This window comes from Homo sapiens, chromosome 20 (genome assembly GCF_000001405.40).
Source record: "Homo sapiens chromosome 20, GRCh38.p14 Primary Assembly".
Taxonomy (NCBI): domain Eukaryota; kingdom Metazoa; phylum Chordata; class Mammalia; order Primates; family Hominidae; genus Homo; species Homo sapiens.
The window spans coordinates 43,527,557-43,551,680 of record NC_000020.11 but is presented as its reverse complement, the minus strand read 5'-3'; the positions used below and the strand labels follow the sequence as shown (position 1 = coordinate 43,551,680).

The following is a 24,124-nucleotide window of genomic DNA, read 5'->3' as shown; positions in this document are numbered from 1 at the left end:
AGAAATTAAGGATATTGACGAGAAAGCAGTTAAAGTGATCAAACACTTTAAGGTGGGAAAGGTGCCACCTTCCCACCTGCTTGTAGTCTCTGGGAAGCTTAACAAAATCTAACTGTTCAGGTTGACATTTCCCCATCTGAAAGTTTGATGTTTTCATTTTTTATTTGAGCACTGGGATAGAGCACAGTGTTGCAATCACAGCTCACTGCAGCCTCGAACTCCTGGGCTCAGGTGATCCTCCCGCCTCAGCCTCCTAAGTAACCGGGACTACAGGCATATGCCACCATAAAAAATACTTTTTTTTTTTTTTTTTTATAGAGACAGGATCTAGCTACGTTACCCAGGATGGTCTTGAACTCCTGGCCTCATGTGATCCTCCCTCCTTGGCCCTCCAAAGTGGCTAGGATTACAGGTGTGAGCCACTGTGCCCAGCTGATATTATTATTTTAAAAATTACAGGTTTCATTGAATTTTCTGCCCTTGACCATTTATCAAATGTTAAGGATCAGGCCCTTTTACACACCGATCTCTGGGAGTTCCCACTGTTTACACTTTCAGTGCAGACAGATACCCATTTATCCTTATCCTTTGTTTCTTTCCTTAAAAACTATAAGGACCCCTAACTAACAACAAAGAGAACACTTTAGTCTCTTCAGTAGTGCCACTACTGATAACCATTTTGTGTTCTCTGGATGTTTTATCATGAAAATAGAAACAGACTCTGGCTGCGTATCAGTTGTTCAAGTTTATTTATGTTGTTTTGATACACTGACAGATCACACCACATTTTGTTTGTAACTTTTTCTCCTTCAAGAGTCACCTTAGCTTAAGCCAGAAGATTCTCTTAAAGAACACATACACACATGTGCACACACAAGAGGCAAGTACAAAAATGTAACCCCACCAAAGTGCATGTGAATGAAAGTGCAAAAAAGGCTTCATTTGCAAACTCTGAGATCATTCTCTCTGCTTCAGAAAATAAACAGAAAGGTCCTAACTGCCCTAGGCCTGGGCTGATCAGGGGCTGGGCGAGGCTGCCAGGGGCCAAAATATAAGTGGCATCTGTTGCTAGGAGGGCAGAGGGCACCAGAAGTCTCTGCCAACTCCCTCCCCTCTCTGCGCTCCCAGGTCAAGGTGCAATAATATCATTTGGGGACAGAGTGGGGGTAAAGGGGCAGTAGGGCAGACAAGAGGCAGATTTCTTTCTACTTTTTAATGATTTGGTTTCTTTCCAAAGAGTTTGACGATAATGCAGAAAGTGCTGAGGCCTCAAAGTTCAGAAGCCTGGGAGCCCTTTTCTCCAAGGCCCTTGGTCCATCTTGCCTTCACCACAGGCAAGCATTAGGTGCTTGGCAGATCTGATGGCAAAGGCCCTCCCAGCCCCTCTCCTTAGAAGCTGTGAGGTCCCACAGCACCAGCCGTGAGTACTTGCTGCCTTCTCACTGCACAAAGTCAGTGAACATCTCTCATCTTTTATAGAGGAACAGACTGAGGATAAGGAGCTGATGAGTTCTGCTACCACCCAGACAACTAAGATAAAAGCAAGGCTTAGACTTGTTCTTCTTTACTCTTGGCCAAGGGGGTACCAATGTCACCCTTGTAAACCCAACCTTCGCTGTGTGGCAGGTCTTGCCTAGCTTCCTTCCAGGAAGGCTGTGCTCAAAGCTGCCTCTAAGCAGTTGAGAGGGAATGGACACCTAAAGCCCTGTGGGAGCTCAACTGTGGGAGCTGAATGGCTTCCTCAAAAAGCTGTCCAGCCCATGGCAGAGAGAGGCCCCTACTGGGTTGTGGTAGGAAATCAACAGAGCTCTGGGTTTCCCACTTCTAAGGGAAAAATAAAGCTTCAAATTTTAATGATAATAGCCCTTGGCATTTTCCCAACACTAAGCCTCACATCTGCACCCTGTCAAACACTTCTGAGAGTGCCACACACACACACACACACACACATGCACACACACACACATCACATGATTGAAGGGGTCTGGGTGAAGGCACCAGCCCCACACTCCGCAGGCCCACATCAGCACCTGGACACGGGAGGTTGGCAGTGGCTCCTCACCTCCATGTGGGGCTGGCTCCTACCAGTGGCTCTCCCCCTTCCCACCCAGGCTGGGAGGCAGGTTTGGCAGTGACTCAGTGGAAGCTGGGTTCCTATGTGGACTGAGAAGTGGAAGTCCCAGAGCCCCAGCAGGGACCCAGCTGGCAGTGCAAGACAGATGGAGAGCGGCAAGGAGGGCTTCAGGGACCCGGAGAATTCAGATAGAAAAGTTCACCTTCCTAACTCCCAACTTCAAGTCGTCTTTGTAAGACGCTGCAAGAGCTAATGGTCAACATTTAAGGGACAGGTTAAATGATGTCATGGGGGTGTGTGCTACACAGAGTGCTACATTCTCATGGCAGAAGGCCTGGCAGGCCTGGAGCCATCACCCCATGGGCAATACCTTGGCTGAGGTCCAAAGCTACAGAGAGTACAGTATTCCTAACTTCAGGCACCACTATGCCTGCTGGAGCTGCCCCTCTGGCCAAAGACCCGAGATTGTCTAACAAATCCTTATGCTGGTCTCCTAACCTAGGCTACTGGCAGGCTAGGCTTACTCCTTCCCAGACTCAACACATGAAGGGTGTATGGAAAACAGCAGTGGAACCTCAACCTCTGCCATCTATAAAACAGGCTCAAACCACCTGCTCATTCTGCTGAAACTTGGACTTGGCGTGGGACACTAAAATGCCAACTGGTCCAGAACTGGGTAAGTTCAGGAAGGCATCTTGGCTCAAAATCTCTCAATTCTGGGCAAAAGAGAGAAAGGCAGCTAGAGACTTCCAAGGGATCTTAGGAAAACATGTTTCCGAGGTTCACATATCTCAGGGGGAAGAGCCAGTGGGGTCTGGCTGGGGGCACTGCCCAGGAAACGAAGCAGCAGAATGAGGGCAGCAAAACCAGCAGACAGAAAGAGAGGAGGTACCTCCAGGAGTAAATACATTTGTGGTGGGGTCACTTCTTGGCAGGAGGAAAGGAGCCAAGGAGAGAAAAGTACACAGAGATACCAAAAAAGGGAAAGGGGCCTCAGATTGAAGGACTGCTGCTCTACTAGTCTCTCCTCCACTGCCAAGAAAAAGACCCTTTGGTAATACAATAAAAGTCCACTGGGGCTGTGGGGGCTGCCACAGTCCAACTGACTCCATGAGTAATGCCCCTGCCAGTCACGCCCTCACCAACATGCCTGGTGACGAATGAGCTCTAGGACTTGGGGCTGGGTGCCTACCCTCCCCAGGGCTCCTCAGCTCCCATGCACCCTCTAAGAAGGACCAGCCTGGTCAGATATAGGTGGAGCATGGGGACGTGTGGGGTATGAGGAATTCAGGTCAGGAAGAAAGCATCAGCTGGAGAGGGAGGCCAAGCAGGGGCTGCAGGAGGGCCCAGCCCTGGGCCAGTCACTTTAAGGTGTCATCAGCGTTTTTGAACATGAGAATGGCGTTATAGATCTTCAAGGCTGGGCCCAGCTTGACGCTCATGATCTTCACAATGTCCGCCTGTGTCAGCAAAAGGAAGGCCTCGCCGTCAATCATCTGAGGGGTTGCGGGAGGGAGGTGGAAAGTGGAGAAGGTGGAAAGGGTCACGGGGCAGGGGTGAAGGAAAGGGAGGGGTGTGCATGGGGAATGGGGGAGGGGAGTAGGAGTAAAGGATATGCGGGAGAAAGGGAAGGAGGAGAGAAGGGGAGAGAAAGGACCGGGAGAAAGGAGAAGGGAGGGAGAAAGGAAAAAAGGAAGACAGCAATGGGGACGGAGAAGGAAAGAAAGACAGCCACTGGTTTCCCCGTGTTCACACACTTGTTCTCTTTCTCTCTTTCTGCTGACTGGTCTGAGGTTTAGCATTTGTATCCGCAAAATGTCTTTTGAGTCCTCACAGACACTGGCTTTGAGAAACCTGCTCTTGTTGTCCCCACATGACCTCATTGGTCAACCTTAGTGCTGCTAACAGCAAGACAAGCAGACACTGTGTGCATTCCAACATGAGGCAGTACAAAGTACATAGTATCACCTAGGAACTAGTCTTGCCAAAAGCAGAGGGGGGCAGGGGGAGACAGAGAGACACAGAGAGAGAAACAGAGACAGTGACAGTGAGAAATTTAACCTAAGTCTAACCCAGCCTTTGGATCTAACTTTCAGTTCATGGGAAATACAGGGGATAGAGGAACAAGTTAAGTGACACCACTAGAAAGCAACAAGACAAATCCAAAAAACCACACTCTGAAAGACTTTTAAAAATGTCAATTGGCCGGGCGCGGTGGCTCACGCCTGTAATCCCAGCACTTTGGGAGGCAGAGGCGGGCGGATCATGAGGTCAGGAGATCGAGACCATCCTGGCTAACACAGTGAAACCCCGCTTCTACTAAAAATACAAAAAATTAGCTGGGCGTGGTGGCGGGCGCCTGCAGTCCCAGCTACTCGGGAGGCTGAGGCAGGAGAATGGCGTGAACCCGGGAGGCGGAGCTTGCAGTGAGCCGAGATCGCGCCACTGCACTCCAGCCTGGGCGACAGAGCGAGACTCCGTCTCAAAAAAAAAAAAAAAAAAAAGTCATTAAAAAAGGAAAAAAAGGATGGGAGGGGCTCTTCTAGAATAGAAGAAACTTAAGAGACATAAAAACCAAAACCAATTATGTAGGCCTTGTTCAGATTCTGGCTCAAAAACTGCAAAATGTATCCTGAGAACTGGGAAATATGAATGCAGACTGGGTATTGGATGATATAAAGGAGTTACTTGCAATTTGGTAGTGGGATAACAATATTGTGGTTATGAAAAGAAAGTCCTTAGTTTTTAGAGATGCAAGTTATGTCCTCAGGGGTGAAATGTCATGATGTCTAAAATTTACTTAAAATTACTTCATCCAAATATAGGTGAAACAAATATGGAAAATATTAGTAATTGTTAATTCTAGTAGCTAGGTATATGGGTAGAGTCAAGGAGGGAAGTCAGTTGGTCAGTTGTGGAGGACAGGATAGAATGAAGAGAGCTGGGAGGCAGGCTGTGGGGGTCAAGAGACTGAGCTGGGGGACGCTGTTTTTGAGGAGACGCCATCCCTCCTATGCTCACCCCTCAAGCATCATAGCAATGAAAACACTTCTATGTTGTTTCTTACGTGCCAGGCACTGCTCCTAAGCACCTGTTGTGTATTAACTCAGTTAATCCTCACAATAACCCTATGAAGCAATACCAGCATTATCTCGATTATACAGATGAGGAAACCAAGGCAGACAGGCTACAGAATTTGCCCAAGATATACCTAGCTTATAAGTGCTGACCTGTGTTCCTAACCACTGTGAGAGCTGGGTAGGGGTATCCTATGGACATGACTCATGCAGCTCAGGGGGCAATGCTGCCCAAGCCTGGCCCTGCCCCACAGTTCCAAGTGAGCCCTCCTCACACCTAGCTCCACAGACTGCACTACAGACCCTTCCCCAATAACTGGGTGTCTTCTGCCTTGCAGCTCTGTTCCCTCTACCACCCCTGCCAGGAAGGCCTGCCCACTGTCAGCATGCTTCCCCAGCAGTCAGAACTGCCCACTCCTTCCACTCTGTCTGGAGTTCACACAGTTCCACAAACTCCCCTGAATTGTATGTATTTCTTCATTTGCCTTCCAGGACCACCAGGGGGCTGCTTACCTGACATAAGTCAGGTGCTCAGTAAATCCAGAAAGAATGAATGAAAGGATCTCTGAGGTGTGGCGACAACAGGACTGTATCTCAGAGAGGCTGGCAACCTTAGAGGTTAAACGGAGGCAGGACAGAGTGGGGGAATGAACCCCATATATCTGTCCCCCCAGCAGCTCTGAGAAAACAGTTACCTGATCTTTCCCAATTCACTAACCAAGGAGGCTCTGAAAACTGGCACTTCTGATGGCTAAAAACCTTTCCCCCAAAAGAAAATGAAAGTCTAGTAGCCAAACACACCGATGAGATTACCTGCATTAAGCTTCCTTTCTAATGCTCTAAAATGACCCCTCAAGTGAAAAGCGGCTTCTCAGGTCTAAGACCAGGGTCTGCTGAATAAGCCCATTTCCCCCTTTCTCAAGGAGTCTGCCACTCTATTCTCTCTCCAGCACCTCCTCGATGGGGAAGCACTGGAGATACTGCTTGCCTGAGACACTGGGAGCTGTGAGGGGGATGCCAAGTGGTCATCCCAGGAGGCAGCTCCCTTGGACCTGAGGAGCTCTCTTTGCTGACCCCCAGCAGATGTGTCTGTGCAGAAACATCCAGATTCAGACACCTCATGCCGGTCTGGCTCTGGAGCTCCCCACCTTTTTTTTTTTTTTTTAAGACTGAGTCTTGCTCTGTCACCTAGGCTGGAGTACGGTGGCATGATCTCAGCTCACTGCAACCTTCACCTCCTGGGTTCAAGTGACTCTTCTGCCTCAGCCTCCTGAGTAGCTGGGACCAGAGGCATGTGCCACCACACCCGGCTAATTTTGTATTTTTCGTATAGACAGGGTTTCACCATGTTGGCCAGGCTGCTCTTGAACTCCTGACATCTGGGATTACGGATGTGCGCCACCATGCCTGGCCTCTGGGGCTCCTTCTTGATGGTCCCATTGAATCACAAAGCCTGGCCAGGGAGATCTCGAAGTTCAGGATATGAAGGAAAGAAACCCCTGGCAGAGTTAAGCATGGATTCTTACAGGAGTTCATTTATTTTCTTTTGTTGTTGTTGTTTGTTTGATACAGAGTCTTGCTCTGTGCCCAGGCTGGAGTGCAGTGGCACGATCTCAGCTCGCTGCAACCTCTACCTCCCAGGTTCAAGCGATTCTCATGCCACAGCCTCCCGAGTAGCTGGACTACAGGCATGCACCACCATGCTTGGCTAATTTTTTTTAATTTTTCATAGAGACTGGGTTTCACCACATTGGCCAGGCTGGTCTCGAACTCCTGACCTCAAATAATCCGCCCGCCTTGGCCTCCCAAATTGCTGGGATTACAGGAGTGAACCACCGCCCCGGTCAGGATTTCAGTTCTTATCATTCAGAGAACCCACTGGTATATGGTTCCTTGTATATCGCCTGAGATTTCTCACCCACGGTAACTGCCAAAGCCCAGGTTCCAGGTTCTTCAAAGCAAAGGCCAGAGTCTGTGGTCTGGCAGTCTGAGACTAGGTAAGGGAACAATGGAATGACCTCAGAAAATCTAAGATGTTGTCTGTGTGCTGGTGGGTATGGGGAGTTTTGAGTCATATGATCAGGAAAAGGGTCATGTTCTGACCTTGAAGGTAGAGGAAATCAACAGGAAAATGGATAAAATAAGCCATACAATAATCCACCCTAAGCAACAGCCTGCAGTGCTGTGGAGAGGTCCAGGGAATTTCCTAAAATTGAGGTGATCTGGATAGATCTTGAGAGAGCCACACATGGAATGTTTAACACAGGTCAAGCTAAGATTTAATTGGCACTTTCAAAACCCCACTGGGACTTCTATGCTTTCACAGCAGAAAGGTGTGGTCTACCAGGAGCCCAAGAAAATCAGACATTTGGGAAGCAGGAAGCTGCCAGTAAACATCTGGCTGCACAGTTAGTAGAGCCCACTGGCCCCTCTCTGTCCTCCCCTTCCTCTGGGCTCCCAGGACACCTGCACATGTGTCTTTCACGGCCCTTACCACACTCCACCAGGAGCAACAACTTACAATTCTGTCTCCCCTACCATGCAGAGAACCTTAAGAGCAGGGACCTGTTCTTACCTGCTTCAGTATCACATCACCTTATACAAGGCCAGGCACAAAGCAGACATCAATAATTATTTGCTGATGAATTAGACAAATACACAATGGCTACAATAAAGATGACAAAGAGAGGACTGGACAGACTACTTTTAGGGCCACCAGTACAGAACAACCATAAGACCATCTATGCACTTTGCTCTAATTCCTCACTCATGAAGCAACCCTCTACTGGCTGGTCTGTGTCCCAGATGGAGAGCATCTTGACTGGTGTCCCTGAATACCCAATCATCAGTTAAGCCAGAGAGAGCCCACTCCTGGAGCATTGTCCTACATGGGGAAACTGATGACATGGGCCAGACACTGGAGATGGTGATCCTCAGACCCCATAAAGGTCCTGCTCCACTCTGAGATTCTATTTAATGCTGGCAGTCTACCAGTACACCTCCCTTTGGCCACTAGTTTTTTATATCACAGACCATGCTGAACCAAGAGACACAGCAAATGTTCCTGGGAGACACAGCCCTTGTCACAAGAAGAAGAGAATGTAAAGCCAAGCATAGGCTGGAGGATGAAACTTGGGTGGCTCTGCAGCTGGCTGAACAACTACATTCGAAGACCTGTGGTCAACCGACAGAAAGGTTTGAAACAGCGTGCCACGTGGTTCTGCCTTCTCATAAAACATGTTAAGACTTGGACAAAGACACAGAAGGCTTAGTTATCAAATGTGCAAGCTGTATGAGGTTGGAAAGCCTTATTAACATCGTAGATGACAGAATCAAGATTTAAAACAAGGCTATGAAACCAACCAGATAACATTTAATAGGGTGGATGTAAAGTTTTACATGAGGTTATTAAAAAAAAAAAAACTCAGTGGTGCAAGTACTCACTGGAAAATTTGGTTCGACTGTAGTTGACATGAAAACCACCTGGGGGCTTTTATGAACCCCAAACTAGTGTGATGTGGCTATAATAAAGCTAGGGCAAACTTAAGTTTTGCTAACAAAAAAATAGGGTTCAAATCTAGGGGAAGAGAAAATAACCCTAATGTTGACCATTAACAAGAAATTATGGTATACTCATGAAATGGAACACCAGTCAGCAATAAACAAACTACAGATACAGATAACAACGTGGAGAAGCCTCAAAAACATGACACTGTGCAGAGACAGACCTAGAAGAGTACATGCTCTATGATTCCATTTATATGAGTTCCAGAACAGGCAAAGCTCATCTATGACGCTAGAAATTAGAAAAGTGGTTGTCTTTTGGGGTGCGGACTGACTAAAAGGGGCTGAGAAAGAACTTTCTGGTATGAGGGAAATGTCTGTATCTTTTTCTTTTCTTTTTTTTTTTTTTTTTTTGTTAAATTTTTTTTGTATGACTTAACACGAGAGGAAATGTCTGTACCTTGATTGAAATGTTGAGTTCAAGGGCAGACATGTCATAAAACCTGTGAAATTGTACTTTCAAGATGTGTGCCTATCTCTCTATAGGCATTTTATCTCAATTAAAACACTTCTAGGGGAGCAGCACCCCGGTGTGTTCTATGTTGGCCAGAGGCCATCGAAAACAGGGAGTTCAGCTCTGGACACGTACATGAAGAGAAGATCACCAACACAGAGGGCAAGGAAAGCACCTGGAAGTGGGAGGAGTTTGGGAGCTCCACCACACACAGCTCAAAGGAGGAAACTGGCTGTGCTGGGCTTGGATACAGACACTCTTCCAGGGCAAGAAGAGCCAACTACTTTCTTTTTATGTTTTTTGAGACAGAGTTTCGTTCTGTTGCCCAGACCGGAGTGCAGTGGTGCAATCCCGGCTCACTGCAACCTCCTCCTTCCAAGTTCAAGTGATTCTCCTGCCTCAGCCTCCCGAGTAGCTGGGACTACAGGTGCATGCCACCACACCCAGTTAATTTTGTAATTTTAGTAGAGACAGGGTTTCACCATGTTGGCCAGGCTGGTCTTGAACTCCTGACCTCAGGTGATCCACCCACCGTGGCCTCCCGAAGTCCTGAGATTACAGGCGTGAGCCACTGTGCCCGGCCGACAAAGTTCTTTACTTAAGGACAACTATGCACTAAAAGTCAAAACTGGTGTTTATTGTGTTCCCACCATAGCAGTCATTTTGTATAGGTAAAGTGATTGGATCTACATATTCCTCCATAATATTGCTCTATTATATACTAGTGATACACAGCCATATGCTACATAAAGACATTTCTGTCAATGATTCCACATTTAAAACCATGGTCCCATAAGATTATAGTGGAACATATACAGAAACCTGATACATGGCCCTTGATATTGGCATTGCAGATCAAGTAGGGGAAATGACTGACATTCAGTAATAATGCTGTGACATTTGGTATTTCATGTGAAAATATACATGTAAATAAAAATACATATAACATCTAGGTTTGTGTAAGTACATTCTATAATGTTTACACAATGACAGAATTGCCTAGTGACACATTTCTAAGAATGTATCCCCATCGTTAAGCAATGCATGACTGTAATTATACTAGACGTTCTGGTATGATTCATTCATCATTTCCAATGCTCACAATGGCTCTGCAAGGTAGACCTCATTAAACCCATTTTATCTCCATTTTACAGACAAGAAGATGTAGGCTCAGAGACAGTAAACAGCTCAAATTGACAGAACTGGGATTTAAACCCAGACTGTCTCCAAAGCTGACATTCTTTTTTTATCTACAACTCACTACTCCTTGGCTCTTGATTTTAAGTGTGTGTTAGGATCCTTGCAGTAAATCACAATATCTGTGTCATTCAAAATACACTTTAATTATCAACTATATTGGATTAAAGGGGAAAAAAGTACACTTTAATATTGACTATCACTGGCAAAGCTAAGTTTGGCAAGCAAATGAGTGGGTAGAGAGCAGAGGAGTGAATGGACTCCTGTCTCCAGGATGCCTTTTCCTTCCTGAAGATGATCTGAGCACACAAGGTCCCCAAGCTGGGCCACAGTCCAGACTAGAGTCTTCCCAGATACATGGGTCACTCTGACTATTCTTGCCTGGTGGGGCAACACGGGTCCCTCCTTAGCAGAAGTGACGCTGGGGAGGGCACCTGCTTCCTGCCGTCTTAAGGACAGTGACCCCGGCTCTGTCTCCCACTCTGCACTTGCACCTTACCTCGTCTTTGAAGAGGCGTGCTTGGTCCTCACAACCTGTCAGGGTCTGAACAAAGCCGAAGACCTTGGAAACCAAAGATGACATGTTGACCAGGGGACAGAGCTTAGGCATGTAGGGAGAGCTGGCCTCCACAGCCTAGGTGCTTCTGAGCTGTGCCAATGCTGCTTTTTCTCACCAGCCTAAAAGGATCCTAGGGTTTCTATGCTGGCAGATGTGCCAAGTTGGGCCCCTTGCTTCTGAGGCCTGGGACCGAAGCCTGCCTCTCCTGCTGGATTTCTGGCTGAAACAGCAGCACAGCCCCCGCCCCCTCTGCCATAATGGACCTATCAGGAAGGGTCTCAGTCAGCCCCTACTGGGCAGCTAGAAGGGACTGTGCACAGGACAGATGAGCAAGAGGTAGTGCCAGGAGTGGTACCGGGTTCTACCTGACCTGGGCCTTTCCACCAGGGTATGGTGAGAGGGAGGAGGAGAGGAAGAGAAGGATAAAGAAGGGCCCTCGCTCCTCACCTCATCGATGGTCCACTTGGCGACTGTCGAGGCTGAGATGCCCGCTACTCCTGGCAGGAGCTTGCAGTGCTGCTCCCAGCACACTGAGAGTGAGCGGTCAGGGTGGGCCGACAGGGCTGACATGAAGAGGGACTGGTGCACGACATCGGGCGTGAGGGCTGGAAAGCAGAGGCAGAGGCTGGCAGGCCAACGAGGATGACTAAACTGTTCCCGAAGCCCATGCATACCCACACCACTCAGGAGACTGGCTGGCAGAGTAGACAGGACTCCGGGCCCCTTCTGACAGCCTGTAGAGTCAAGAGGGTGAGCCGTATCTCCTGACTCCTCACACAGTGTTCACTCCTGCTGGTAAAGTGACTCTCTTAAAGACTCTCAGGTCAGCTATTCGGAATGACCCTCACCCCGTCTCTCTGAGGCTGCACCACCCTGGGCCCTGCAAGGATACTCTCTTGGAGCTGCTGCAGCATCTCTAAAGACATAATTTTCTAGATGCCAACCATCAAAAGGGTCCTTAACATCCAAACAAGCTCAGCCTTGATGTCAGAAGTCCACTCTGTTTACTCTTCTTCTCATGAGTCCTTCCGGGCCACGACCAACTTTCTCAGAGCCAGGGTGATTCTGCTTCAGAATCACAGTCCCCCTGACCAGGCTGAAGACCACCCCTCTGGCCACTGCCATTGCCTCAAGCTCCAGTTCCTCCCCTTCCTCCACCAGCCCGGTCTGTACTACTGCCTATGCCAGCACTAGAGGGTGATCCCTGACCCACTCCCCAGCTCCATGTTGCCTGTGGCTTTGCTTCCTGGTCTGCCTCTGGGATCACTGGCCCCAACCTCCTACCTCAAGCAGCTGTACTGAGCTGATGACCGATGCTGCTCAGCTTGGCCTCCCCCTTGGTGGGGCCTGGCACGTGCCAACTTGGACTTCATCCCCCTCTGGCTGCTTTGACAAACCTGGCCCCACTCACTGCTGTCAGCCTTGGCCGGCCTTGTGCAATGTGGCCACTTTCCCAAGGGGTTTTCCCAGCCTCTGTCCATGGTCCAGGAGCATTGGCTCTTTATTCTCCTGGTGCTAATTCCAGATGCTCATCAATGCAGCACCTCCAAGTGCCCTCTTGTCAAAGACCCTCCCTGTTGGTCACAGATTGTCCTGCCCTCTCTCCCTGAGTGTCAGCCTTTCAGCCTGGCTTTTCCACCTCCATTCACCCACAAAGCCTCTGGGATTCCATCCTCAGCCCTACCAACCACACTTCTGTGCCACTGCCTTCCTGCTGCTCTCTCTGTTCATCAGCGAAATCCTAATACCTGCCCATACCCCAGACAGCCCCATCTCCCTGCTCAGCCAGCTCCTCTCATGGCCCGTCTGGGGCACACTCAGCATCTCTCATGACAGCTAGCACCACTAGCACCTCATCTACCTGGCCACAGGTTTGGCCTCTGGTACACCCAGGTACTCCCTCTCTGAAACCCTGTATCTGGGTTTCATACCCTGGGGTGGGGTTTGGGAGACAACATCAAGTTTGTAGGGAGCTTTTCTCCTTATCTTTCTTCCCCAGAGCACAGGGAAGAGCACAGGCCAGGAGTGCTTACCAGCAGTTACAGTGTCTTATCTAACTGCAGACCATCCAGTTGCAGGTCAGACATGGCTCCTCAGTTCCTTCAGTAGCTGACACTCCTAGGCCTAAAGACTAAGCCCAGCCAAGCCCTGTCCTCTCCGGGCAGATCTTCCTATGGAATTGTTCACCAGCAAACCTCAGAGCCTACACTAAGGAGGTCTACCCACCAGTATGTAAGAAGTTGCCTCTGGAACAAAACCCAGAGTGACCAGTGGCTCTTCTGGGTGACAGGCCAGCTAGAAGAGCAGGGGTGCCCTGTGGAAGTGAGACCTGGGCAATGACCCCTGCTCTATCCTTGAAGTGCCTCAAGGATCTGGGTGAGCCCTTCTTTGCCAGTTCCGTGACATAGTCTCAGCCTCTGGAAAGATGTAGCTTCCCAAGAATTCTACAGCCTAATTCTGGGATGAACACAGTAGGCAAGTGCCCTCTGGTGGTCAGAACTTGGTCCTGCAGTGGACTTGACCATGGGTACCACAGATGGGTACAAGAGGTGCCCACTGCAGTTTGATCCTTAGGAGTCCTTACTCTGAGGGTCTAGGTGCTGGCCAAGACCCTCATCACTCAGGTCTGAGGCTGAAGAAACTGCTTCTGTTCCCACAAAGAGGAAACAGTATGAGATGACAGCAAGAGGAAGTGAGGCAAGAGACTCAGACTAATAATACTGGCAGGGAGCTGTGCTAAGCACCTCACATGGAACATCTCAGTTAAGCCTCTCACCACATCATACGGTGGGTACGATTATTATCAGCATTTTACAGATAAGGAAGGTGAGGCTCAGAGAGGAGTGTCACCCACCCAAGATCTCTCAGCCTGTAAAAGGTAGTCTGACTTCAGGGCTATGCTTTTTATCACTATGTTACTTACTGCCCAGGTTACAGAGACTGTTCTTGAAGAATTGGGACAGCTTGGGTCTCGCCAAGGTGCACTAAACCAGGTGATTTCTCAAGGTCTCTTTTAGCCTTAAAATGACATGCATTCCATTCAACTGAGGCGTCCCTGCTGTGCATCAGGCCCTGTACTAGTGGCTGAAGATGTAAGATGAATTCACCACCTAGGGGAGGGCTCAGCCACTATGCCCCTCCCGCTGAAGTATGTTATGGGCTAAAATGTGTCCCCGCAAAATTCATATGCTGAAGCCCTAACCCCCAGTGCCTCTGAATGGGACTGCATTTGGAAAAAGGGCCTTTAAAGAGTGATTAAGTTAAAATGAAGTCATTAGGATGGGCCCTAATCCAATTCAATTGGTATCCTTACAAGAAGAGACACTTTGGACACATCATGGGACCCCAGGAATGCTTGTGCACAGAAGAAAGACCATGTGAGAACACAGCAAGAAGGCAGCCATCTGCAAGCCAAGGAGGGAAGCTTCAGAAGAAATCAAGCCTGCCAACACCTTGATCTTGGACTTCTGGCCTCCAGAACTGTGGAAAATAAATTTCTATTGTGTAAGCCACCCAGTCTATGGTATTTTTGTTACAGCAGCAAGCACGCTAGTGCAAGGGGAGTGAGAAGTGAACTGACATTTGGGTTAGGTGCTTTATGTCTCTTATACCAGCAGCATGCAGCAGGAGGAGTCAGGCCAGATCCGAGTTGGAATGCCAGCTCTCCCCCTTACAAGGTGAATGACCTTGGGCAAGTGACATCACCCTCTGAGACTCACATTCCTCCTCTCACAGAAGAACAATATACATGTTAGAGAACTCTTGTGAGAGTTAGACACAGTATGTGTAAAGAACCTGGCATAGTGCCTGGCCCATAGTAGATGCTCAGTAAGCAGTGGTAGTAACCACTGTTATTTCAGGTATTGACAATGGAAAGGCAGGTTTTATCCAGTTACTCAAGTGAGAAAACTGAAGCTCAAAGATGTTAAGTGACTTGCTTAAGATCACACAGGTAGAAAGTGATGGCCATGGCCTCCTTCCCAGGAAGCCTAGAATCAGAGAAGAGCAGGAGCATCATCTTGCTGCACAGTGAGAACCAAAGGCCCCGAGAAGCTCTGTACCCTCCCCACAGACTCACAGCAAGGCCATGGGGGACATGAGATTGGAACCCAAGGTCACTCAAGGCCCCTCCACTGCTTTTGCCACTGCTCTGTGCTCTCAGTATCTCAAACGAAGAGGCACAGCCCTCCTTCTAGCTTCTCCCACTCTGGGAAATCTGTCTCATCCCACCAATGACAGAGCACTCGCTGTGAACACTCTGTGGTGGAGGACATAGGAGCAGATAACCCAGACTTACTCTGGAAATCTTCCTGCGGAATCTTTCGATACTTCGGAGGGCGTCCAATTCTGGAGAAAGACGGACCAGGTCCATGGCAGGGAATCAGTGTCTGGCCCAGTCCAAGAGGCTACAAGGCCCCACACCCCCAGGAAGCCCGGGCCCTGATTCCCTGGCCTCCATACCGGCCGTGATGGCGAGGCTTCTTCCTTGGGGAGAAGCCTGAGAGGTTCTTCTTGCGGGCTGAGGCCTCCGAGTCAGACAGCTCCGCTTTCAGCCGGCTCTGGTTCCTCTCAGCCAGTGGGCAGCCTGAGAGGCAATGGTGAGCTGTGAACTTGCCTGTGACATGGCCAGAGCCGTCGCAACCAGGAGTGGGGCACTTCCTGGGGAAGAAGAGACTTCAGTTGGGTTTAATCCACTGGTCCCCGCTGAGCCCTCCTCAGCCCTGGTCCCAGCTGGAGTGTGTTTTGGTGGACCCCAGTCGCCTGCATGCAGTAAGTGCAAAACAACGCTGAGGGTCTCTCACCAGGAACCTTCACTCACCGGTGGTGAAAGCTGTATTTGGAGGTCCTAGTGTGGGGCAGGCTCCTATAGCTGAGAGGGGGACAGCCCCCAGGGGAGGCAGAGCTGGGCTCTCTGGGTCCTAAAAGAGCAGAAAGGAGGCGGTCCTCATGGAGTCCTGGGGGTGGGGAGTGTGGGGCACGGAAGGAGCAGTTTCCACTGGGGAGATCAGCACTAGAAACCCACTCCCCAAGGATGAGGGCCCTGCGTTGGCTGTGACACCATTCTGTGTTACTGGATATCTGCCCCTCTCTGGGTAAGGAGGGCTTAGCTCTCATATGTTAATACTTTGCTGAAACCTGCAGGCTATGCCCTCAGTCTCTGAGAGAACTCTGGGGGAGAAGAGCCACTCAGAGCTGGTTGGGTGTAGCCATACCTTAGAAGCCACATCTGGCAGATTCATGTCACTCTCAGTTCTTTTTCTTGTTTTCATCCCCAAGACTTTGGTAACTTTTTTAAGGCTCTGCCTATGCTTGGAGAACATTCAAGAAGGATCAACACCCCATGTGAGACAAACACGGTTGCAGCAGGGAAATAAGGAAGGGAAATCCTAAGGGTGAAAATGGGGCTGAGCAGCCCAGTGACCTGAACTCTAACCCCTGCCTGCACAGACAATCAGAATTTACTTTAGGAAGCCATCATGTCCTTAGCAAACAGTGCACGCTCAGTGTGGCTCTGCTAGATGCTGAGAGAAATCCCTGGGTGCCTGACCACCTCTGAAGCACATGCAACCAAGTGAGCTTGCCCCTTTGCACCTCAACACCCCAAACCCCGACAACTGGGGTAGCCAGAAGCACTGCTTAGTGTAGCAGATGGTCCGGGGGTGGGGCAGATGGGGGATTCTGGAACTCATGGTAGGCATCAGAGCCCTCTGTGTCATATTTGGGCATGGGGAGTCAGAGCTCTGTAGGCAAACTATAGGATTGTCAGAACCTGGGGGGAAAGGAAAAGATCAGAGTGCCCTAGGGGTACACACCGAGAGGAGGCTGCAGGGGATGTCCTGTCTTGGAGCACCAGCCGGCAGGGTGGATGTCTGGGTGGTCAGCGTCGATCCAGAAATCATAGCCATGACTCCAGCCATCAAAGTGGATCTGGGGAGGAAAGGCTCTTGGAAGTCAGGCGTTTCTCATGGAGCCCAGCTCAGCCAGAAGGTCCTCTCCCCATCCCTGGGACCTGTCAGAAGCAAGATCCTGGATTGAAAGAACCAAGGGGCCAACCCTGCAATAATCTGTCTTGGCCACCACATTTTCCAAGGGCATCACTCATTAAGTTACTGGCATCTCCCACTGGCAATCCTTAGGTGGGACGAGGATTATTAGGCCCATTTTACAGATGATGTAAGGCTTAGAGAGGGAAAATGACTTGTCCAAGCCCACAAAAATAAGTCACAGATGAGGCAAGAATGAGATTCAAGATCTTTGGCTTCATCTCTCTCATGCCATGATGCCCCTGACCTCTAAACAGTCTACAGAATTCCTGCCCAACTGGCCTGTCCACTTCCCAGCCCTAGGGTCCCAGAGCCACCTTTATCCGATGGTCCTCCACATCCTCCACGCTGGCCACGCGAATCAGGGCTGGGTTCCTGCGGTCCACAGCCTCCAGCTTCATATTGACCAGGAAGCTGTGAGGGGGTCGCTGCAGAGGGGACAGCTGCCTTCAGGGCAAGGCGCAGCTCAGCAGAGCTGAGCCCCACAGAGGGAGCCCAAATGCTGTGCCTGGGGAAACTGGGGCCTGCCCAAAGGGGAAGGCTAGGGCCCCAGCCTGGCTAGCTGAGTGCTCCATGTCTTTCTGAGCTCAGCTCTGGGGTCAGGGAGCACTGACTCACCACCTTGAAGGCCCAGGTGGGGACAGCAGAGGCCCCAGTTTCTTCCAGATATTTCTCCCAACAGAAGTTATCAGGGTCTGGGTAGTCTGGAGGAGAGGATGAGAGCAATGTCTAGCCACCCAGGTGTACTGCGGAAGCCCTCTGCCCCCAAGCAGGACCAGGAACATGGAAGGGACAGAAGCCCTTGGAGTAGAATCTCTCCCACCATCACCACAGCCAGCTCCTTGCACTGGGCTCCTCAGGCAGATGGGTGCTAGTAGAACCAAGCAAGGCACCACCCTAATAGTTCACAGGGCTGTCTGGGAACCCTGACTCCTGTCACTCTTGGCCTGTTGCTCCCACCCCAGCCCCATTTGAATCTCTACTGTATTTGGGCCAATGCAATACTCCCAGGATGAAGGACTCATTTTCTTTACTTCTGATTCCCTGTTTCCTTGCTGAGATGGTCATGTAACTTTCTTCCCCTAAACCCCAGTGGAGTCAGGGTTTGACAGGAGTCTCCTAAAATCAAAGGGTTCTCAACTCCCAGGCCAAGAAGCTGAGGCTTCAGGACATGTCTGTTCTCTCACCCTGACCCTAGAGAGCCAGCTACTGGGGCACTACTGGTGAGGGGTCAGTGGAGAGGGAAGCAGAGCCAGGCTTAGGAAAGGGGGCTTGCTCAGGCTGCAGGGTCACCTTGTGGAGGGGTGAGGGGCTTTCCTTGCTTCTGGCACCAGCCCACTGGGTGGATGTAGGGGCTGCTGGGATCACACCTGAAATCCAAGAACATGTCACTGTCCCAAGAGAAACTTGAGGCCCTGAGCCTGCCATCCTCTGAAAGCATGGCTCAGGGCCCACCCTCATCTACTTCTTAGTGAGAGGGAGACAGATGGCAAGGACAAAGTTAGAAAATTGCAACATGAATTACAAACTCTACCATCACCATAATATCTAAGGGAAAATCATGAATCATAGGGGCTTGCTCATCTTAACCATGGTATTTTTAGATGAAACATTTAATATTGAGCTGTATTTCTTATGATAAAGCTCAATTCAATTATCTTCCAACCGGAGGAAGATCTGAATGTCAGAACTGGACTGAGTGGTGCCACATGGTACCTGAGATATGAAAGCAGTTGCCCCCTGCCATCCCCTCACCCCCTGAGGCCAAGTCTGGGCCCTCCTACTACCAGTAGTCATAAGTATCATCCCAGTTGTCAAAGTGCACCAGGAAGCGGCTGTCCACCACATCGGTCACACTGGCCACGCAGACAAGGGACGGGTTCATGCGGTCAACAGCCTCCAGCTTCATGCCCACCTGGAAGCCCAGGGGTGGGGGACTCTAGGGGAAAAAAAGGAGCTGCCACGGCCAGGGCCAAGCTGGCTAAGACCAGCCCAGAGCCCATTGGCAAACAAAGGAATAGGTTCTCTAGGAAAGCCTGGGGTGTGGGCAGTGAGAAAGGAAGGAGAAATAAGCTGGGAAAGAGGGCCCTCCAGGGCAGAATCATAACCTGAGCCCTGAGGCACTCAGGAACCTCTGGCCTCCAAGGTGCACTCAGAGGCCTGGCTTGTGTCAGAAGGTAAGTGCCTGGAAGGAGGCTATGCGTTCGCCCAAAGAACCTGGTGAACCAAGTATAAATCTTCCCTACCCAGACAAGCCCTTCCCAGCTTGTCCTGAGGCAGTTGTGGCAACAGTGGGGTGGCTGGGAAGAAACAGCGGACATCTATGGCATAGAGGCAGACAGGGAACCAGTATAAACTGAGTACCTGCCATGTAAGCTTCAAAAGACATCACCTCCTTGGACCTTTACAACAACCCTATTCCCATTTAAGAAGTTAAATCACTTGGCCCAGAACACAATGCTAGTCAACGGCGGGGCCAGTATTTAAATAGTTTGAATTAAAAGTCGGCATTCGTTGTCACAACAGCAGGCAGGACCCCACCTGTCACCTGGGAACTTGCAAGTATGAACTCTGGGGCTGGACTGGGGTAGGGGAGTAACTGTCTCTGCCTGAAGAGCATGGTGGAGTCCTGGGCCCAGGGAAACTCTAGACATTCAATATGGTTTTTTTTCTTTAGACACAGGGTCTCACTCTGTCGCCCAGGCTGGGGTACAGTGGTACAATCATAGCTTGCTGTAGCCTTGAATTCCTGGGCTCAAACAATCCTCCCAGCTCAGCTAGCTACTGTGGTATCTAGGACTACAGGCACATGCACCATGCCCAGCTAATAATTTAATGACATTTTTTGTACAGATGGGGTCTCACTATGTTGCCTACGCTGGTCTCAAACTCCTGGGCTCAAGTGATCCTCCCGCCTCAGCCTCCCAAAGTACTGGAATTACAGGTGTGAGCCACCGCACCCAGCCAGTAAGACTGATACATACTTCTTTTTTTTGAGACGGAGTTTCGTTCTTGTTGCTGAGACCGGAGTGCAATGGCGTGATCTTGGCTCACTGCAACTTCCGCCCCCCAGGTTCAAGCGATTCTCCTGCCTCAGCATCCTGAGTAACTGGGATTACAGACACCCACCACCACGCCCAGCTAATTTTTTATATTTTTAGTAGAGATGGGGGTTTCACCATGTTGCCCAGGCTAGTCTTGAACTCCTGACCTCAGGTGATCCACCCGCCTCAGCCTCCCAAAGTGCTGGGATTACAGGCATGAGCCGCCACACCTGGTCCAGTATGATATTTTTAATGGAGGCTCCCTGTATCTCTTAGGCCTTTTGGTTGGGATTATGAGATACTTTAACTGCTGGATAAGCTGCCAGCTGCCCTGAACAGAGGAAAGGACAAGGGATGAATTGTTGGAAATAAATGGAAGAGTCTCAATGTTGGGCAAAAGGAAAGAAAAAGAAGCTCCCAGAATAGAGGCATTGACCTTACACCAAAGAACTGCAGAGCAAGCCAAAGCAAGAATATATGAGCAATGACATCTCAGTGCTCAGACTAGGGTAGTGGGCCAGGGGCTCCAAGGGGATGTGAGGACAGGGTATCTGCAGTAGCAAAGGAGGGAGGGAAGTCGGGAAAAACCTATAACCAGCTTCCCATCTCTGGCCCTGGACCCTGCCCAGCTGTACCCCTCCCATCTGATATGAGAGATCAGAACAAAGCTGAGAGAACCAGCACATGAGCTCCCTTCTGATGAGTCAGATACCCTGGGCCAGCTGCAGTGAACTCTGGCACATGGGAGTGACATCCACTCTCACTCAGGGGCACTCACGTGGCTCTGGCTCACAAACAGGTGCTTGGGGGCAGCCTGAGCTCTTGTGCTGCGCAGGTACTGGCTCCAGCTGAACTCCTCCTCCTTGTAACCTAGGCCCCTCGAGGGGCATGAACAGAGCGCCGTGCAGAGGCTGGGCCACAGCAAGGGCACCCCACAGTGAAGCAGCAGAATCAGGCATGCCTGAGGACCTCCCCCCAACCCTCAAGAACTTGCCCAGGGATTCCCCACTACTGAAGCAGGACACGACTTGAGTAGACACTCAAAGGGCAAGTGCAAAGCGGAAGTTCTAGGGCTTCTGGTCAACTTGGCCCCAGCGCAGAGTCATCAGGATGCGATGAAGAGAGGCTGGCTTTGGAACAGGGTACAGGGTCAGAAAACAAAAGAGCTGGAAGCCGGGGACCCAAGGGGAAGAAGCGAAGGGTCTGAGGACTCACTGCCTCACTGTGACCAACCCAGCTAGGCCTTACCTTTGGGAGGCTGCAGCTTGTGGCCCGTCTTCTCGAACCAGCCAGCAGGGTGAATGTCAGGGGAGTTGGCATTGACCCAGAAGTCATGGCACTCAGAATACCCATCAAAGTGCAGGCGTAGGCGATAGCCACATACCTGGCCCCATGAGGGGAATCAGGAACTCCAATGTCAGGAGATGCCCCACTCCCCATCTGCCTCACCTCTCCTGGCCCAGTCTGGTGGTCTCAGGGGCTCTAATGCTAGCAGGTTCCCCAACCCCACCTTTCTTTCCTCCCAATTGTACCCCACCCTGTCCTATTCTACAGTGAGGACAGTTCATGTACTCATGAGCCCTGAGTTCTGGATGCAAGGGAGGTGGACCCTATGACAGCTTCCTGCCCTTTTGAGCCCTGGACAGAATTCTGAGGGCAGCCACCAAGGCTCAGGACTGCTGAGGGCTCCTGATGACCGCTCCCTCTGCTACCTTCTCTCACTGCTCCCCACTCGCACTCTGCTTCCAGTCTTGCTGAGCTAGTGGCAATTCCTTGAAGGTAGCAGTCTGTTCCATGCCCCAGGGCTTTTGCCCACTTTGCTCCTTCTGCCTGGAGCTCCCTCCTTATTCACAACTTATCTCTCAAGACTCTGCAAAGGAGGCCCTTCCTCTATGCTTTTGCTGCTCCTCAGACAGAACTGACCCAACTGTGCCTCCCAGCTCAAGTCTGCTGCCACCCCTGTGGCATGTCACTGACATGTTTATTTGGCTGATTCCCCAGACAACTGTGAGCTCCTAGAGGACAAGGACCTTGTTTGACTCATGCCAACATCCCTGGCCCTCGGGATCTCCTCAAGCTCCCCCAGAGTGGACAGTATACATTCATCCAATAATAGGACTGTCCCATGAACTCCATCTGGTTTTTGTTGTTTTAAGCTTTCTATGTATTCCAGCTTCATCCACTACTAGATTGTGTGTGCTCTGAGGGGAGGGAGGTGTTTCCTTCTATGTCCCCAGCAAGATCCATCAATCTGCACTGAGAGACATCATCAGAAAGGTGGTACCAAGCCCCAGCTCACCTCAGCCACGGTGAGGATGAAGTACATGGACGGGTGTTGAGGGTCAATGCCTTCCAACTTCATGCCCAGTTTGAAGCCATTCTTGTTGTGAGTGACTGCCTGGGACTGTCAACGCACAGAGTGGAGAGGACCCAGCTTCCATCCAGCCTTATCCTTGCCTAGTGGGCTTGGGGTGAAGGAGCTGCCTTTAGGCCCCACCCGCCTGGTATTTCCAAAGGGGCAACTTATTTGGGGATCGTTACTACAGGGATCTAGAGAGAGAGAGAGAGAATATCTCCCAGGTCCCTTGAAAAATGTGGGTGAGTCAGGGCTGGACTCAAGGGCTCCCTCTCACCAAAGTCATGGAAAGATCAATGCTGAATTGAGTAGAAGTCACCAGAATTCAAAAGTCTGCAGGCCCAGTGATGAGTGAGCCTAGCTTCCACCTCTCTGTTTCTTCCCACCCTGCCAGCCCCTTATGGGGGGCCCTTTTCCACTCTGGGCCCCTAAACAGTCTCTCCCTTTCCATTCTGCCAGTCCACTGAGGCATGCCTGACACAGAAAACGCCAGAAGGCCTGAGGTTGGTGGTGTGTCCCTAGGCTAGGAAGACAAGCTGTTCCTACGGGGAAATTGTCCAACTCACGTCCTGGAAGAGGCTGACTGGAGCAGTAATGGCCTTCTGCTCCTCTAGGTAGGACTCCCACGACCAGCATTCCTTCTTCTCACCTGTTGCTGTGGAAAGGGGACAGACAGGCTAACTCCTGGGCTGTTCCTGATATATGACTTTCTTCGGCTTCCCCTGACCAAGCTCTACCTTCACCCCCAAAACAAATCTTTGTCTGTGTTCACATGTACCCTCTGGTCCCACCCACCATGATGGTGCCAGACACGGGGCTGAGGGGAGGCTCAGTCTCAGGTGTGGCTACACCAAATTCTGCCCGTCACTTCCCCCCCACCCGCTCAGGCCACTGTCAGCAGAAGTACTCTGGATTATTCAGCAACTGACTGAAGTTACAAAGTCTCAGCCACAGAGGGACCCTGTCCTCTGACATGACAAAGCTGAGTGACAAGTCCTGTGCCAGAGAACTTAATCACAATGCCATCTAAACTCACAAGGAAAGGAGAGGAAAAAGAGAAATGAGAGAGAAAACATGAAAATAGGAAGAAGTGGAAGGGTTGGGAGAAACAAGAAACACGGCTGGGCATGGTAGCTCACGCCTGTAATCCCAGCACTTTGGGAGGCCGAGGCAGGTGAATCACTTGAGGTCAGGAGTTCGAGACCAGCCTGGCCAACATGGTGAAACCCCGTCTCCACTAAAAATACAAAAATTAGTTGGGCGTGGTGGTACATGCCTGTAATCCCAGCTACTCGGGAGGCTGAGGCAGGAGAATTGCTTGAACCTGGGAGGCAGAAGTTGCAGTGAGCCAAGATCGCACCACTGCATTCCAGCCTGGGCAACAGGGCAAGACTCTGTCTCAAAAAACAAACAAAAAACCAAAAATTATCCAGGCGTGGTGGCACACGCCTGTAGTCCCAGCTACTTGGGAGGCTGAGGCAGAAGAATTGCTTGAATCCAGGAGGCGGAGGCTGCAGTGAGCCGAGAACATGCCACTGCACTCCAGTCTGGGTGACAGAGGGAGCCCCTGTCTCAAAAAAAAAAAAAAAGAAACACTTTTTTGATCCTTCTTCCCCTGAACACTTACAGAGACTTACACAAATGTGTATATGTGTGCTTGATGGGTACCCCCAGAGTGGATATACTGATTCCACAGCCCTCCCAGACACACACAGCCTATGTGCACACACACAGCCTATGTGCACACACACATAC

At 50.3% G+C, this 24,124-nt stretch overlaps 1 protein-coding gene across 17 annotated transcripts in view, besides 1 other annotated feature; it reads right to left on the bottom strand.

Moving 5' to 3' along the window:
* L3MBTL1 (L3MBTL histone methyl-lysine binding protein 1) overlaps positions 727-24,124 on the bottom strand; it is a 43,258-nt gene continuing 19,860 nt past the window's right edge. For 4 of the 17 annotated variants that reach the window (NR_165189.1, NM_001377303.1, NM_032107.5 and 1 more), the window contains 15 exons: positions 22,936-23,024; positions 22,313-22,417; positions 21,262-21,397; positions 20,792-20,883; positions 18,757-18,908; positions 18,263-18,339; positions 17,588-17,673; positions 17,287-17,397; positions 16,739-16,853; positions 15,745-15,844; positions 15,387-15,584; positions 15,223-15,272; positions 11,373-11,530; positions 10,866-10,928; positions 9,786-10,747 (listed from right to left, as the gene is read on the bottom strand). Coding sequence is in view for 9 of the 17 variants with exons in the window: in NM_001377303.1 (NP_001364232.1) it covers positions 10,553-10,747; positions 10,866-10,928; positions 11,373-11,530; positions 15,223-15,272; positions 15,387-15,584; positions 15,745-15,844; positions 16,739-16,853; positions 17,287-17,397; positions 17,588-17,673; positions 18,263-18,339; positions 18,757-18,908; positions 20,792-20,883; positions 21,262-21,397; positions 22,313-22,417; positions 22,936-23,024 (1,727 nt within the window). In the remaining 8 variants the exon portion in view is untranslated. Of the gene's footprint in view, positions 3,571-9,785; positions 10,929-11,372; positions 11,660-15,222; positions 15,273-15,386; positions 15,600-15,744; positions 15,845-16,738; positions 16,936-17,286; positions 17,398-17,587; positions 17,674-18,262; positions 18,340-18,756; positions 18,909-20,791; positions 20,884-21,261; positions 21,398-22,312; positions 22,479-22,935; positions 23,025-24,124 lie in introns of those variants that run through there. The other 13 variants (NM_001377311.1, NM_001377308.1, NM_001377307.1 and 10 more) reach the window with 12 other exon arrangements.
* Positions 6,797-7,013: a silencer, noted in NCBI's record as "fragment chr20:42173308-42173524 (GRCh37/hg19 assembly coordinates)". NCBI's record gives its function as "represses an EF-1alpha promoter that drives an FKBP-Casp9 reporter gene in an ReSE screen in phorbol 12-myristate 13-acetate-treated (for megakaryocytic differentiation) K562 erythroleukemia cells {active_cell/tissue: K562(+PMA)}" and the evidence as "EXISTENCE:reporter gene assay evidence [ECO:0000049][PMID:32094911]".